This window comes from Homo sapiens, chromosome 7, assembly GCF_000001405.40.
Source record: "Homo sapiens chromosome 7, GRCh38.p14 Primary Assembly".
Taxonomy (NCBI): domain Eukaryota; kingdom Metazoa; phylum Chordata; class Mammalia; order Primates; family Hominidae; genus Homo; species Homo sapiens.
Genome location: NC_000007.14, coordinates 5,371,854 through 5,387,166, shown reverse-complemented (window position 1 = coordinate 5,387,166; position 15,313 = coordinate 5,371,854). Strand labels below are relative to the sequence as shown.

General features: G+C 57.4%; 1 protein-coding gene across 16 annotated transcripts in view, besides 2 other annotated features; it reads left to right on the top strand.

Moving 5' to 3' along the window:
• Window positions 1-15,313, top strand: part of TNRC18 (trinucleotide repeat containing 18) — a 117,024-nt gene that overhangs the window by 36,668 nt on the left and 65,043 nt on the right. For 13 of the 16 annotated variants that reach the window (XM_017012737.3, XM_047420983.1, NM_001080495.3 and 10 more), the window contains 5 exons: window positions 9,143-9,245; window positions 9,591-9,796; window positions 10,174-10,320; window positions 10,943-11,133; window positions 12,683-13,112. In XM_017012737.3, coding sequence (XP_016868226.1) covers window positions 9,143-9,245; window positions 9,591-9,796; window positions 10,174-10,320; window positions 10,943-11,133; window positions 12,683-13,112 — 1,077 coding nt within the window. The remainder of the gene's footprint in view (window positions 1-9,142; window positions 9,246-9,590; window positions 9,797-10,173; window positions 10,321-10,942; window positions 11,134-12,682; window positions 13,113-15,313) is intronic. The other 3 variants (XM_017012732.2, XM_047420980.1, XM_017012730.2) reach the window with 1 other exon arrangement.
• Window positions 4,214-4,777: an enhancer, noted in NCBI's record as "H3K27ac-H3K4me1 hESC enhancer chr7:5422021-5422584 (GRCh37/hg19 assembly coordinates)". NCBI's record gives its function as "activates a minimal SCP1, AML or CMV promoter by ChIP-STARR-seq in naive H9 embryonic stem cells {active_cell/tissue: H9 hESC(naive)}" and the evidence as "EXISTENCE:reporter gene assay evidence [ECO:0000049][PMID:30033119]".
• Window positions 4,778-5,342: an enhancer, noted in NCBI's record as "H3K27ac-H3K4me1 hESC enhancer chr7:5421456-5422020 (GRCh37/hg19 assembly coordinates)". NCBI's record gives its function as "activates a minimal SCP1, AML or CMV promoter by ChIP-STARR-seq in naive H9 embryonic stem cells {active_cell/tissue: H9 hESC(naive)}" and the evidence as "EXISTENCE:reporter gene assay evidence [ECO:0000049][PMID:30033119]".

Genomic DNA, 15,313 nt, shown 5'->3' with positions numbered 1-15,313 from the left:
GTAGGTAGAGAGTTTACGTGCCTGTAAGTGGTTTATGAGTATCTGTTATATTTTGGATTCTTTAGAATTGTTTTATTTATTTATTTATTTTTGAAACGGAGTTTCACTCTTGTTGCCCAGGCTGGAGTCCAATGGCACGATCTCAGCTCACCGCAACCTCCGCCTCCCAAGTTCAAGTGATTCTCCTGGCTCAGCCTCCAGAGTAGCTGGGATTACAGACATGTGCCACCATGCTTGGCTAATTTTGTGTTTTTAGTAGAGACAGGGTTTCTCCAAGTTGGTCAGGCTGGTCTCGAACTCCTGACCTCAGGTGATCCGCCCATCTCAGCCTTCCAAAGTGCTGGGCATTACAGGCGTGAGTCACTGCCCCCAGCCTGTTTTATTTATTTTTAGTTTATAAATTATTATTTTGTTTTAGAGATAGAGTCTTGCTCTGTTACCCAGGGTGGAGTGCAGTGGTGTGATCATAGCTTACCGTAGCCTTGACCTCCTGGGCTCAAGCGATCCTCCAACCTTAGCCTCCCAAGTAGCTGGGACCGCAGGTATGCGCCACCACGCCCGACTAATTTTTTCTTTTTCTTTTTTTTTTTTTGGAGACAGAGTCTTGCATTGTTGCCCAGACTGGAGTACAGTGGTGCCATCTTGGCTCACTGCGACCTCTGCCTCCTGGGTTCAAGCGATTGTGCCTCAGTCTCCCCAGTAGCTGGCATTACAGGTATGCATCACCATGCCTGGCTAATTTTTGTATTTTTAGTAGAGATGGGGTTTTGCCATGTTGGCCAGGCTGGTCTCAAACTTCTGACCTCAGATGATCCGCCTGCCTTGGCCTCCGAAAGTACTGAATCTCCTACCTGTGTCACTTTTTTTTTGTTGTTTTTTGAGATGGAGTCTCGCTCTGTCACCCAGGCTGGAGTGCAGTGGCACAGTCTCTGCTCACTGCAACCTCTGCCTCCTGGGTTCAAGCGATTCTCCTGCCTCAGCCTCCCGAGTAGCTGGGACTACAGGTGCGTGCCATCACGCCTGGCTAACTTTTGTATCTTTTAGTAGAGACAGGGTTTCACCATATTGGCCAGGCTCGTCTCAAACTCCTGACCTCAAGTGATCCACCCGCCTCGGCCTCCCAAAGTGCTGGGATTACAGGCATGAGCCACCGCATCTGTTTTTTTTTTTTTTTTTTTTTTTTTGAGACAGACTTTTGCTCTGTTGCCCAGGCTGGAGTGCAATGGCATGATCTTGGCTCACTGCAACCTCCGCCTCCTGGGTTCAAGTGATTCTCATGCCTCAGTCTTCTGAGTAGCTGGGATTATAGGTGCACGCCACCATGCCCAGCTATTTTTTTGTATTTGTTTTTCTTTAGTAGAGACAAGGTTTCACTGTGTTGGCCAGGCTGGTCTCAAACTCCTGGCCGCAGTTGATCCACCTGCCTCAGCCTCCCAAAGCTCTGGGATTATAGGTGTGAGCCACCATGCTTGGCTTTTTTTTTTTGGATGGAGTCTCGCTCTGTCACCACGCTGGAGTGCAGTGGTATGATCTTGGCTCACTGCAACCTCCGCCTCCTGGGTTCAAGTGATTCTCCGGCCTCAGCCTCCTGAGGAGCTGGGGTCACAGGCACCCGCCACCATGCCCGGCTAATTTTGTATTTTTTTTTCTTTTTTTTTTTTTTTTTTTTTTTGAGACGGAGTCTCGCTCTGTCGCCCAGGCCGGACTGCGGACTGCAGTGGCGCAATCTCGGCTCACTGCAAGCTCCGCTTCCCGGGTTCACGCCATTCTCCTGCCTCAGCCTCCCCAGTAGCTGGGACTACAGGCGCCCGCCACCGCGCCCGGCTAATTTTTTGTATTTTTAGTAGAGACGGGGTTTCACCTTGTTAGCCAGGATGGTCTCGATCTCCTGACCTCAAGTGATCTGCCCACCTTGGCCTCCTGAAGTCCTGGGATTACAGGCGTGAGCCACCGCGCCCAGCCAGCTGTGTCACTTTCCCACCACCCTGATGCCTGCCCCAGCCGGTCCTGGGTATCTGGTGCTGGACCTCCCGCCTGCAGTGCCCTTCCCACTTCCTGCACAGCCATGTCTCCCCATCCTCTGTGCCTTCACCTCCCGGTGGAGCCACCTTGGACCGGGCCTGTCTCTGGCCGAGCTCCAGATGCTCCTGCCTTCCGGGGACGGCCCTGAAGTCTTTGGATTTTGAGTTGGGAGGTGGGGCTCTGTCAGGCTTGTCTTGGAATTCTCTTCATCCAGCAGGGCTGGCTCATGGTGAGCGATGCTCAGTGAGTGTTTGTTGACTGACTGAATGAACACACTGCTCTGTGTGGAGCTCCTGGAGCCAGGGAAGCCCCGCTACACTCTGACCCTGGGGCTTTGCATGAGAACCTGCCTTATTCTGGGACAGAAGGAGGGAGGGGCCAACAGCGCTTGGATTGGAGGTGGCCAGCTTGGTGATGGAAAAAGGTCTCCTGCTCAGAGGTTTGGGGCTGTGGGCCCCCCTGGGAGGCAGGAGATCTCTTTGAGCCTTTCTCTGGAAGGATCCTCCCGTCACATGGGGTGGCACCTTTGTTGGGGGCTCACGGTCACTGGAGTCCATCTGAGATCCCAGAGTACCTGTCTGTGCCCAAGAGGCTGTGCGTGTGTTTGTGTGGGGGAGGGGGACATGCGAATGTGAGGGAGGGAGGGAGGGTGTGCCAGAGGTTTGGGATGAGATGTTTGGGGATTTATCTGAAGCTGCTCTTCTCTGTTGGTGCTGATGTTTGAAAAGTAGGTGACTGGTTGGGGGCTGGGTATGGTGGCTCAGGCCTGTAATCCCAGCACTTCGGAAGGCCAACGTAGGAGGATCACTTGAGCTTAGGAGGTTGAGGCCAGCCTGGGCGACCTAGCAAGACCTTGTCTCTACAAAAAATAAAAATAGGTTGGGCGTGGTGGCTCACGCCTGTAATCCCAGCACTTTGGGAGACCGAGGCGGGTGGATCACCCGAGGTCAGGAGTTTGAGATCAGACTGGTTAATGTGGTAAAACCCCGTCTCTACTAACTAAAAATACAATATTAGCCAAGTGTGGTGGCACATACCTGTAATCCCAGCTACTTGAGAGGCTGAGGCAGGAGAATGGCTTGAACCTAGGAGGAGGAGGTTGCAGTGAGCTGAGATCGTGCCATTGCACTCCAGCCTGGGCAACAGAGCGAAACTCTATCTCAAAAAAAAAAAAAAAAAAAAAAAAATCACCCGGGTATGCTGGTGTGCCTGTAGTCCCAGCTACTTAGGAGGCTAAAGTGGGAGGATAGTTTGAGCCCAGGAGGTCAAGGCTGCATTGAACTATGATTGCACCACTGCGCTCCAGTCTGGGCAACAGAGTGAGACCCGGTCTCTAAAAGAACAAAAAAGTAGGGGGCTGGATTCTTTCTCTCCTTAAAAAAAAAAATCCCATAAGAAGTGGTCATTTCTCTCTGGGCAGTCCAGCCTGAGTGCTGAGCCACTTTGAAAGGAGGGAGGAGAGAGACGCCCTGGGACGCCTGTGTCTGGGCAGTTCCCCCAGCTGAGGACAGTCGGGTTGTCACACTGGTCTCCTGGGTTCTCGCCCCAGTCTCTTGCTTTTTGGAGCGAGCCCTCTGCCTTTGTCAATGGGTTTAAGTCCAAGCTCTGCCCTTTGTAGCTACGTAACCTTGAACAAGAGCCTCGAGCCCTCTGGCCTCTGGGGGCGGCTCATCTGCTTGATGCTGGGTGGGCTGACGGGCACATAGTGGGTGCGTTATAAACGCCTCTCTCTCATCTGCTCATATTCAGGCATTAGGGTCTTAGAATGCACCTGCCTGTGCAGGGGAGCCCTGGGTCTTCCTGTTCTCACATAGGATCTAGGTCTGGCCTCAGGGGGCCTTGGACCTTGAGATGGATGAAGGACAGGCATTACCTACATTTGTGAGCCCCACGCAGTCAGAGCCCCCATGCCCAAGAAGCTAAGAACGATAAGGGGCATCCTTGCCAGATGCGGCGGCTCATGCCTGTAATCCCAGCTCTTTGGGAGGCCAAGGTGGGCAGATCGCTTGAGCTCAGGAGTTGGGAGACTAGCCTAGGCAACATAGTGAAACCCCGACTCTACAAAAATAAAAATAAAAATAAATCATCCGAGCATAGTGGTGTGGCATCTATAGTCCCAGCTACTGGGAGGCTGAAGCAGGGAAGGATCACCTGACCCCAGCAGGTCGAGGCTGCAGTGAGATCGCACCACTGAGCCCCAACCTGGGTGGCAGAGTAAGATCCTGCCCCCACCCCAAAAATAGAAAGCAATCGTTGCCGTTGAGCCAGCAGCCCGTATGAACAGACAGCTCCATGAGGTCTCCTGTGAGGGCGTGGACCTGTGCAGAGGAGGGGCTGTTACTCTCCCCATTCAGATGGGGAGACAGGCCTGCAGGGATGAGGCAAGGCTGAGCGGGGAGCCCTGAGCTGAGTTTTGTCTTTCCTACCTCTTCACTGGCCCATCACCTCTAGGGTGGGGCCAGGTCTGGGAGGGAGGGGCTGTGGGGATGTCCCCACCTCCAGCTTCACAGGGGGCGGCTGGGGGTGCAGAGCCGGGTGTACGCCATGGTGTTGGTGACAAGCCTGCTGGGGCCTCTATCCAGTCACTCCCCCCCGATCCGCTTCCCCGGACCCCTGGAGAGCAACCCTATCTGGAACTGCTCAGAGAGAGGCCAGGAAGGGGTTGCCATGGGAACGGGGCCTCTGCGTGAGCCTTGGGTTCCTAATGGCTGCGATGTGGGGCGTGTGACCTGTGAGTGGAGTCGTTAGCGCTGCAGACTCGGGGGCTTTTGCTGCAGGACACCCTCACCCCACCATGGGCCCTGGGCTGGGGCTGGGCCTCTGGGCGGCCTGCAGAGAGGGGGCGGCAGTGACGTGGCTGGAGAGGGCCCTGTGGCACTCCCTGTGTGGGGCCGTGTATGTTGGTGGTCAGCAGGGCCGACTTGGACGCTGATCACAGCCATGACGCCTCCATGTTAGTCTTGTGACTTGGGCATGTTTCTTTATCTCCCTGTGCCTCAGTTTCCTCATCTGGAAGATAGGGATGAGGGCTGGGATCTGCCTCCTGGGTTGATGGTGATTGAATGAGTTCATGTTTGCAAAGTGGCCTGGGGCCCTGCTGGGCACAGGGACAGCCTTTGTTTATTTATCCACTTTATTTTATTTTTTATTTTTATTATTTAATTAATTAATTTATTTATGAGATGGAGTCTCACTCTGTCGCCCAGGCTGGAGTGCAGTGCTGTGATCTTGGCTCACTGCAACCTCCGCCTCCCGGGTTCAAGTGATTCTCCTGCCTCAGCTTCCTGAGTTGCTGGGATTACAGGCACCTGCCACCGTGCCCAGCTAATTTTTGTATTTTTAGTAGAGCCGAGGTTTCACCATGTTAGCCAGGCTGGTCTTGAACTCCTGACCTTGGGTGGTCTGCCCACCTTGGCCTCCCAAAGTGCTGGGATTACAGGCGTGAGTCACTGCACCCGACCTGAGTTTACTTTTCTTTCTTTCAGTCTTTCCTTCTTTCCTTTCTTTTTCTTTTTTTTTGGAAACAGGGTCTCACTCCGTTGCCCAGGTTGGAGTTCAGTGGTGCAGTCATGGCTCACTGCAGCCTCGAGGACACAGACAGTGAATGATCAATAAGCAGAATAGCTGTGTATAGTCAAGAGAACGTGATGGAGCAGAGGTGGTCAGGGAGGGCTTCCTGGAGGAAGTGGCACTTGAAGCTGAGCTCTGATGGTGGAGGTCCAGGTGGTGGGAATGGTGTGTGTGTGGCCCAGAGGTGGGGAAGGGGACAAGTGTGACATGTGCAGAGAGGGTGGGGCATCCTCGAGAGGCCGGCCAGGTCCCCACTTGGGCCTGTGGGGTGACAGATAGGACCAGGATTAGAGCGGATGGAGGGCCACAGAGTGAGGAGGGTAGAGGAGGGGCCCGGCCAAGCGCAGGGGTGGGGGACAGAGGGCTCACTATCTCTCTTCAGAGGCCAACCACATTTGCAGGGAGCAACCTGGGGCTGTGGCCCTTGAGGCCCTGAGGGTGGCAGGTGCTCTGATATGGGGCTGGCCAGCAGACTGGCTTCTGTGGCAGGTGGCGCTTGGGATGGGAAGCCCCTGAGACCATTCACAGTGACAGCCGGGACAGTCGGGGGGACAGAGGGCTTGGGGCAGCCCAGGCTGCACTCTAAGTGCCTGCCTCTTCTGGGGGCACGGGGAGAGCCCTGTGCTCAAAGCTTGTCCCAGACTCCAGGAGGACCCAGGGGGCGTGAGGGTGGCCCCCTCAGGTGGCTGAGCCTCTGGGATTCTGTAAGCTGGGACGGCTGTCTCCCCTGGGAGAAGGAAGCTTGATCTCATGACTCGATTTCTCAGCACAGCTGTGGGACTCTGGAGTGGCCCTCCGTTGCCCCAGTCCTGCCTGAGACCTGTCACTGCCCTTCTGGGCCTCAGTTTCCCCGTGAGGTCCACAGGCAGGGCCCCTTGCAGTCCTGACTGAGGGGTGCATGGTGGGCTCAGCTTCTGCTTTGATACAGGAGCTACGTTGATGTTGGAGGTCCAGGTAGCCCTGGAGGCCCGTGTCCAGGCGCCCTCGTCAACACGCTTCTCCCCGTGCCGGGCTGCCCGGCTGTCCCTCCGTACACTCGGTCCTGCAGGCGTCTGGGCCGGCATGGCTGTGCCCCTCTCTGGGTTCCTCTCTTCTGCTTCTGGGACTGGTGGGTTCCCACCTTCCTGCAGGGAAAGGGAGATGCTCTGTGGCCTAGGCTGGAGTATGGTGGTGTAATCACAGCTCACTGCAGTCTCCACCTCCTGGGCTCAAGCCATCCTCCTGCCTCAGCCTCCTAAGTAGCTGGGACCACAGGGGCATGACACCATGCCTGGCTAATTTTTTATGTTTTTGTAGAGATGGGGACTCACTGTGTTGCCCAGATTGGTCTCAAACTCCTGGGCTCCAGTGATCCTCCCACCTCGGCCTCCCAGAGTGCTGGGATTACAGGCGTGAGCCATTCTGTCGGGCCTGGGGTGCTGCTTATTAGGAGCTCCTGGTATTTGGGGGTGTGGGAAGGGAGAGATGAGAGGAGAAGCTTGATTCCAAGTTTCCTCACCCATTAGGGTCATGGCTGTGGGGCCGCTGTAGACCCCAGTTAGGACAGCTGGGTGGGGACCTTGTCTCCAGCAGAAGGATAGTTTCTCTGTGCTGGCGGCTGATCCCCTGACATTGCAGCTGGCGGTGCTGGACTGGGCCCTTGGGGGTGGCTGATGGCCGGGGTCTGCCCACAGTAGCGCTGCGTAGGAGGACCTAGCTCCCAGCCCACCCCTCTTCCCGGAAGCCCTGGGAAGGCCGGCCCCAAGGGGAGTATCAGCCGTGCCTCCGCCTGTGCGAATGGCACCTGGGAGCCGACGGGCAGGTTTTCGAGCTGCACACCTGGTAGCCTCTGCCGTGGGGCTCAGCTTCCTCCCATTCCCGGGCCTTCACCTGTCCGGTGTGTCCCATCTCTGGCTCATGGTGTTGAACACTCAAAGAGGGGCCAGGGCAGGGTGGCAGGGACAAGGAGGTACCAGGAGGGCCAGACGGGGCTCCTGCCACTCCGCCGCTCCCTGTCCCCTCTCCTCTGGTGACCATCCATGTGCCAGGCCTGGGACTCAGGGGCTGGCTATAGGGAGGGACAGGGATGGGTGAGCCCGGTAGCATCTCCCACTCAGGGGGCCAAGGCCACCCCCTCCACCCAAGTGGATAATGTTCTTTGGGTTTACTTTTCTATCTTGATTTTTTTTTTTTTTCTTTAGAGTCTGGGTCTCGCTCTGTCACCCAGGCTGGAGTGCAATAGTGCAATCATAATAGGGAGTCACTGCAGCCTCGACCTCCCCGGCGCAAGAGATCCTCCCACCTCAGCCTCACGAGTACCTGGGACTACCGGTGCATGCCACCATGCCCGCCTAATTTTTGTGTGTGTGTGTTTTTTGTTTTTTTGTTTTTTTTTTTGACGGAGTCTTATTCTGTCTGTTGTCCAGGCTGGAGTGCAGTGGTGCAATCTCGGCTCACTGCAACCTCTGCCTCCTGAGTTCAAATGATTCTCCTGCCTCAGCCTCCTGAGTAGCTGGGATCACAGGTGCGCACCACCACGCCTGGCTGATTTTTGTATTTTTTTTAGTAGAGACGGTGTTTTGCCATGTTGGCCAGGCTGGTCTCGAACTCCTGACCTCAGGTGATCCGCCCCGCCCCCCCCACCCGGCCTCCCAAAGTGCTGGGATTACAGGTGTGAGCCACCTCGCCTGGCTAGCCATGTGTATTTAAACTGTCTTGGGACACACAGGCCTGCGTGGTTGGGACCACAGTCTGGCTTCATGTGGCCCAGGTCCGGCTAGTTTTTGGGTTGTGTTTTTTTTCTCCATTTGGACTCTGCCCTGTCCTCACCAAATCCCCAGCTCAGAATCTGCCTTCCCGTCATTAAAATAGCATTAGTGGCGGGGCTCGGTGACTCACGCCTGTAATCCCAGCACTCTGGGAGGCTGAGGTGGGTGGATCACGAGGTCAGGAGATCGAGACCATCCTGGCTAACACGGTGAAGCCCCGTCTCTACTAAAAATACAAAAAACTAGCGGGGCGTGGTGGTGGGCACCTGTAGTCCCAGCTACTTGGGAGGCTGAGGCAGGAGAATGGCGGGAACCTGGGAGGTGGAGCTTGCAGTGAGCCGAGATCGTGCCACTGCACTCCAGCCTGGGCGACAGAGCGAGACTCCATCTCAAAAAAAAAAAATAAATAAATAAAAATAAAATAAAATAAAAATAGCATTAGTAAGTGCACCCGGCCTCACGTTTCATTGTTATGTGACAAGTTTTATGACATTTTCTTACAATATCCCTGGCTGTTGGCCTAATTATCGCCACGGTTGTCTGTCTAGGGGACATAGACAGGCCTTTTGGATGGGGGATGACAGAGCGGATGGATGATTTCTGGCCCTGAGGAACCCCAGTTGGGGTTTGGGGGAGCTTGATGCGTCATAAGGAAAGATGTTGGGGTGAAGGCACTACACGGATGGCTGTGCAGGACCGTCGGGGCTCTGGGGGGCCCAGGGAGGGGTGAGGGCAGTGGGGCCAATGGGTCTGGGATGGGCTCGGTGCTGGCTGGGGGCTCACTTCCACCTGGCCCCCTGCAGGGCACGGCCGAGCAGATGAGGACTGTGTGGACGACCGGGCCAGACACCGGGAGGAACGGCTGCTCGGGGCACGGCTGGACCGGGATCAGGAGAAGCTGCTCAGGTGAGGGTGTCGGGGGATCCTGAGGGTCTAGGGGGTATCTAGGAGCCCCTGGGGGTGAGGGGCAGCTGGATGACCCCAGGTGGGCTTGGCCCCTCGACCATGGATGCTATGGTACTGAGAGCGGGAGTCACTCTGGTCCTCAGCATCGGGCCAGCCCTGCCCAGGCCAGGTGGCCCCACTGCCCCTACAGTGAGTGTGGAAGGCCCCGGGAGGCCCTTCAGTTCCGAGCAGTGGTTGTCCTGACTCATGGCCTGGTGGCAAACAGTTCCTTGGGGCAACCCCGCTTCTCCCTCTCGTCCCCTGGGCTGTCCGAGCTGTCGCTGACACCTATGATCCTCCTTCCAGAGAGAGTAAGGAGCTGGCTGACCTGGCCCGCCTGCACCCTACCAGCTGTGCTCCTAACGGCCTGAACCCCAACCTCATGGTGACGGGGGGCCCGGCGCTGGCGGGCTCAGGTCGCTGGTCTGCCGACCCCGCAGCCCATCTGGCCACGCACCCCTGGTTGCCCCGCTCGGGCAACGCATCCATGTGGCTCGCTGGACACCCCTACGGTGAGTGTGGGGCACAGGGTCTCTCCCCTTCTCTGAGGGAGGGGTGGGAGGGGGCGGGTGCAGGACAAGAGCTCAGGGCTGGCTCCTGCCTGCCGTTTCCTGGGGGGCCTGGGCCTGCCTCCCGCATTCGTCGGAAGAAGGAATGATAATGGCCTCTGCCTCGTGGGGCCCCTCTGCCATGCCTGTTTGGGGCAGATGCCCAATGCGGGTGGCTCTGGGGTGCTCTTTGCAGCCAGCCAGCACCCCTGTCCCTTGGCTTCCCCACTGGAGGCCCCAGGAGGTTCAGGACTTGGGAGGTGGTGCTGGGCTGGGGCTGCCCGAGGACAAACCGCTTGGGGGCTCCCAGCACTGACTCAGGCCTGGGCTTCTCCTCCTAGGCTTGGGTCCCCCATCTCTGCACCAGGGCATGGCCCCTGCGTTCCCACCTGGCCTGGGGGGCTCCCTCCCGTCAGCCTACCAGTTTGTCAGGGACCCCCAATCGGGCCAGCTGGTGGTCATTCCCAGTGATCACCTTCCTCACTTTGGTAAGTGGACCTTCTATGTGGCCACCATGGGCCAGACTGGCCATGCCCAGCGAGATGGTCTCTGATGCCAAGGGCTTCCTGCTGAGGGGTGGCGGCCGGCAGATCTGGGGCTGGGGAGGCGGACCGGGGTTCAGAGAGAACATCTGTTGCCAGTGTTGTAAAGCCTTGGGGTCCTTGTTGCAATGAGCTCCTGCCCAAAAACTCCATAAAGAGAAGCGAGACAGGCAGCCCTGGGTGGGGGCTGGGATTCCCCTTACCTGGCGCCACCGCCTCCCCAGGAATCCACCTTGTAGACCACTGGGAGGGGTGGGAGAAGGCGTTCCCTAGGTCCTCACAGTGGTCCTCGTACGTGTCTGCGTGCTGACCTGCTCTGGTTGCGAGGCTGTGGGAACATCCCACCCCGGGTGTGGACAGGGCTGTGTTCCCCGGGCCTGGGGTGCACACGTGGCCCATGGAGGACAGGACAAACTTCCTGGCCCCTGGGGAGCAGCCGGGGGCCCGCAGAGAGCCCAGCTCCCCACTGTGTGGGTGTGGCCCCTCTCTGGCTTCAGCTTCCCCTCGTAATGGGCATGGTGGTGGAGCATCAGGCCGCAGGTGCAGCGCACTGTCTCTGTCCCTGCAGCGGAGCTGATGGAGCGGGCCACCGTACCGCCCCTCTGGCCCGCCCTGTACCCGCCGGGCCGCAGCCCCCTGCACCACGCCCAGCAGCTGCAGCTCTTCTCACAGCAGCACTTCCTGCGGCAGCAGGAGTTCCTGTACCTGCAGCAGCAGGCGGCCCAGGCCTTGGAACTGCAGAGGAGCGCCCAGCTCGTGGTAAGTCGGGGAGGATGAGGCGCAGCTCCCTCTGGGGGCCCCCATGGGTGACGAGGCAGACGAGTCAGCCAGCAGAATCTCCAGACAGTTACAGGGAGGGAGAAAACAGCAGAGGGGCAGGTGGTCAGGGAGGGCTTCTGGAGGAGGCAGCAGTGGAACCGAGACCTGGAGCCATCTGTAGAAGAGTTCTCCAGGCGGAGGGAGCTGTGAGCAGAGGCAGATGGAGATTGGCAGGGCAGGGTGCAGGAGCGAGGAGGAAACCAAGGCAGAGAGGTGGCCTTGGGGACTGGGGAAGGGTGATTGGACACTGAAGGAGTCCAGTGGGCTCCCGCTGTTGCCTGAGCCCAGCCTGGCCTCTTCTCTCCAGGTGGCCTCTCGGAGAGGCACAAGGAGGCCTGGCCAGCTGCCTCCTGACGGCATGGTCCCATAAGATAGGGGACACAAAGGGTCTGCTCTGGAGGAGTCGGCCCAGGTAGTGCATACAGCAAGAAGCTCTCAGAGCCTGAGCCCTGGGTCTGAATCTTAGCTCTGCCAGGCCTGGCTGTGTGCTCGTGGGCAAGTGCCTTTACTTCTCTGGGCTTCAGGTTTCCTCTCCCAGAAACAGATGCTAGCGTTGCCTAGTCCTTGGGTTGCTAAATGTGACTGTTTAGTAATCGGGAGAGCGGCCTGTCCTTGGAGCGCTTTGTTCTGGTGTTTGTTTGTTTGTTTGTTTTTGTTGTTTTTTTGAGGTGGAGTCTTGCTCTGTCGCCCAGGCTGGAGTGCAGTGGTACTATCTCGGGTCACTGCAACCTCCGCCTCCTGGGTTCAAACGATTCTCCTGCCTCAGCCTCCCGAGTAGCTGGAATTACAGGCACATGCTGTCATGCACGGCTAATTTTTTTCTCTATTTTTAGTAGAGATGGGGTTTCGCCATGTTGGCCAGGCTGGTCTTCCTGGCCTCAGGTGATCCACCCGCCTTGGCCTCCCAAAGTGCTGGGATTCCAGGCGGGAGCACTGTGCCCGGCCCCTAGTGTGTTTTGTGTATTGACTGACCGGCCCAGGTAGGCATTGGTGGTCGCCGAGCTGACTCCCTCCCATTTCCTCATAAAAGACATGCCTGGCTTCCTCCTGCCCTCTTTGGGGCCTTTTGAGACCCTAAAATGATGACGCAGTGAAGCAGGAAGGTTTAGCAGGTAGTGAGTGCGCCCAATGCCATCGAGGTGTGGGGCCTTGTGCCCCCCATCTGGCCCCCCTTGTCCTGACTGTGAGGGTCCGTGCAGGGCCGGGGTCCTGGTGGAGGTCCCCCATCAGCCCTGGTTCGAAGGGGCTCACCAGAGCTCCTCACCCCCAGCGCTGCCTTTTGGGGTTCTGCGTGGAACGCTGTGCTTATGACACATGGGCTGGGATGGAATGTCTGTCTCTGGCCTGGGACGGGGTGGGCAGCCTGGACCCCAGGCCCTGCATGAGGTTCTCCTCGGACTCGGGGACCCTTGGGGGGACAGGGCAGGTGCGGGCGTCGGGGAGGGGGAAACTCGTGCCGTGCTGACCCTGCCTGCCGGCCCCTTCCCAGCAGGAGCGGTTGAAGGCGCAGGAGCACCGGGCGGAGATGGAAGAGAAGGGGAGCAAGCGGGGCCTGGAGGCTGCGGGCAAGGCTGGCCTGGCCACCGCCGGCCCCGGGCTGCTGCCGCGGAAGCCCCCTGGCCTGGCCGCCGGCCCCGCGGGCACCTACGGCAAGGCCGTGAGCCCGCCACCATCACCCCGCGCATCCCCTGTGGCTGCCCTGAAGGCCAAGGTCATCCAGAAGCTGGAGGACGTGTCCAAGCCACCCGCCTACGCCTACCCCGCCACCCCCAGCTCCCACCCCACCAGCCCGCCGCCCGCCTCCCCACCGCCCACCCCGGGTATCACCCGCAAGGAGGAGGCTCCCGAGAATGTGGTCGAGAAGAAAGACTTGGAGTTGGAGAAGGAAGCCCCCAGCCCCTTCCAGGCCCTGTTCTCAGGTAGGATGCAGCTGAGACCCTCAGGGTCTCACTCTGCCCCTGGAGCGGTAAAACTGCTCATCCATCTTTTCATTGACCCGTTCGATCGTTCGTTCATTCCACCTCCACGGAGCACCTCCTGCGTCCCAGGCCTGCCGCCAGACACTGAGACAAACACAGGAGCTCACAGTCAAATCCAGCCTCTCCCCGGCCCCTCCTCAGCGGCAGTGTCAGGGAAATGGGTGTAATATTAGAAACTGCTTCAGGATGAGTTGTTCTGAGTTTTCCACCGAGCCAGACCTGTCACACGCTCAGCATGCAGTCGGCGCTAAGTTCTGCCTTGCTGATGATGGTCCAGGGACACCCATTCTGGGCAGCTTTCCCCCCGTTCTGTGGGTCCCATGCACACACCCGCTCTTGCCGTCTTCTGCATCAGAGGGGACCTGCAGCAGGTGGCTTTGGGGGCTGGGACTGTGTTCTTCCTCCCTGGGGGGTATCAGGTGTGTGAGCGTGTGCTTGGGAGGACTTTGGTTCAACTTCAGATTCTGGCACCAAGGCTGGGTGAGCTTGGGCCAGTGGTGGCAATCACTGAGCTTGGCCCGGCGCCTGTCTCTCCTTTGTCAGTTTCCTTTTGTGTGCCTCCAGCTGCTGGGCTGGGAGTGGTGCAGAGAATCAGGGGCACACAGCCCTGCTCTCAGGGAGATTACACTTGGGGGACAGAACTGGGTTGCTATTCCTTTTCTTTTTTTTGAGATGGGATCCTCACTCTGTTGCCCCAGCTTGTACTGCAGTGGTACAATCACAGCTCACTGCAGCCTTGAACACCTGGACTCGAGCGATCCTCCTGTTTCAGCCTCTCAAGCAGCTGGGACCATAGGCACGCATCACTGGACTTGGCTATTTATTTATTTATTTTTGAGACGGAGTTTTGCTCTTGTTGCCCAGGCTGGAGTGCAGTCGGGCAATCTTGGCTCACTGCAACCTCCGCTTCCCAGGTTCAAACGATTCTCCTGCCTCAGTCTCCCTAGTAGCTGGGATTACAGGCATGTGCCACCATGCCCGGCTAATTTTGAATTTTTAGTAGAGACGGGGTTTCTCCATGTTGGTCAGGCTGGTCTCGAACGCCCAACCTCAGGTGATCTGCCCACCTCAGCCTCCCAGAGTGCTGGGATTACAGGCGTGAGCCACCATGTCTGGCCAATTTATTTTTTATATTTGTACAGATGTGTCTTGCTTTGTTGCCAAGGCTGGTCTTGATCTCCTGGGCTCAAGCAGTCCTCCCACCCTGGCCTCCCGAACTGCTGGGATTGTAGGCTTGAGACCACTGCAGCTAGCCCTGCTGTTACATTTTGTTTTGCTTTGAGATAGAGTCTCACTCTGTCACCCAGGCTGCCGTGCAGTGGTGCCATCATAGCTCACTGCAGCCTTGATCTCCCAGGTTCAAGTGATCTTTCCACCTTTGCCTGTGAAGTAGCTCGGATTACAGGGGTGCGCCACCATGACCAGCTAATTTTTTTTTCTTTTTTTTTTTTTAGTAGAGATGGAGTCTTCCAGGTCAGGCACAGTGGCTCACGCCTGTAATCCCAGCACTTTGGGAGGCTGAGGCGGGTGGATCACCTGAGGTTAGGAGTTTGAGACTGGCCTGACCAACATGGTGAATCCCCGTCTCTACTAAAAATATAAAAAATTAGCCGGGCACGGCCGGGCACAGTGGCTCACGCCTATAGTCCCAGCACTTTGGGAGGCTGAGGCGGGCGGATCACGAGGTCAGGAGATCGAGACCATCCTGGCTAACATGGTGAAACCCCATCTCTACTAAAAATACAAAAAAAAAAAAAAAATTAGCCAGGCATGGTGGCGGGCGCCTGTCGTCCCAGCTACTTGGGAGGGTGAGGTAGGAGAAGGGCGTGAACCCAGGAGGTGGAGCTTGTAGTGAGCCGCGATCGCGCCACTGCACTCCAGTCTGGGTGACAGAGCGAGACTGCGTCTCAAAAAAAAAAAAAAATTAGCCAGGCGCGGTGGGTCATGCTTATGCTTCTTGTCCCAGCTGCTCGCGAGGCTGAGGCAGGAGATTCGTTGGAATCCAAGAGGTGCAGGTTGCAGTGAGCTGAGATGGCGCCGTTGCGTTCCAGCCTGGGCAACAAGAGTGAAGTTCTGTCTCAAAAAAAAAGGAAATGGGGTCTCACTCTGTTGCTCAGGCTGGTCTTGAACTTCTGAATTTA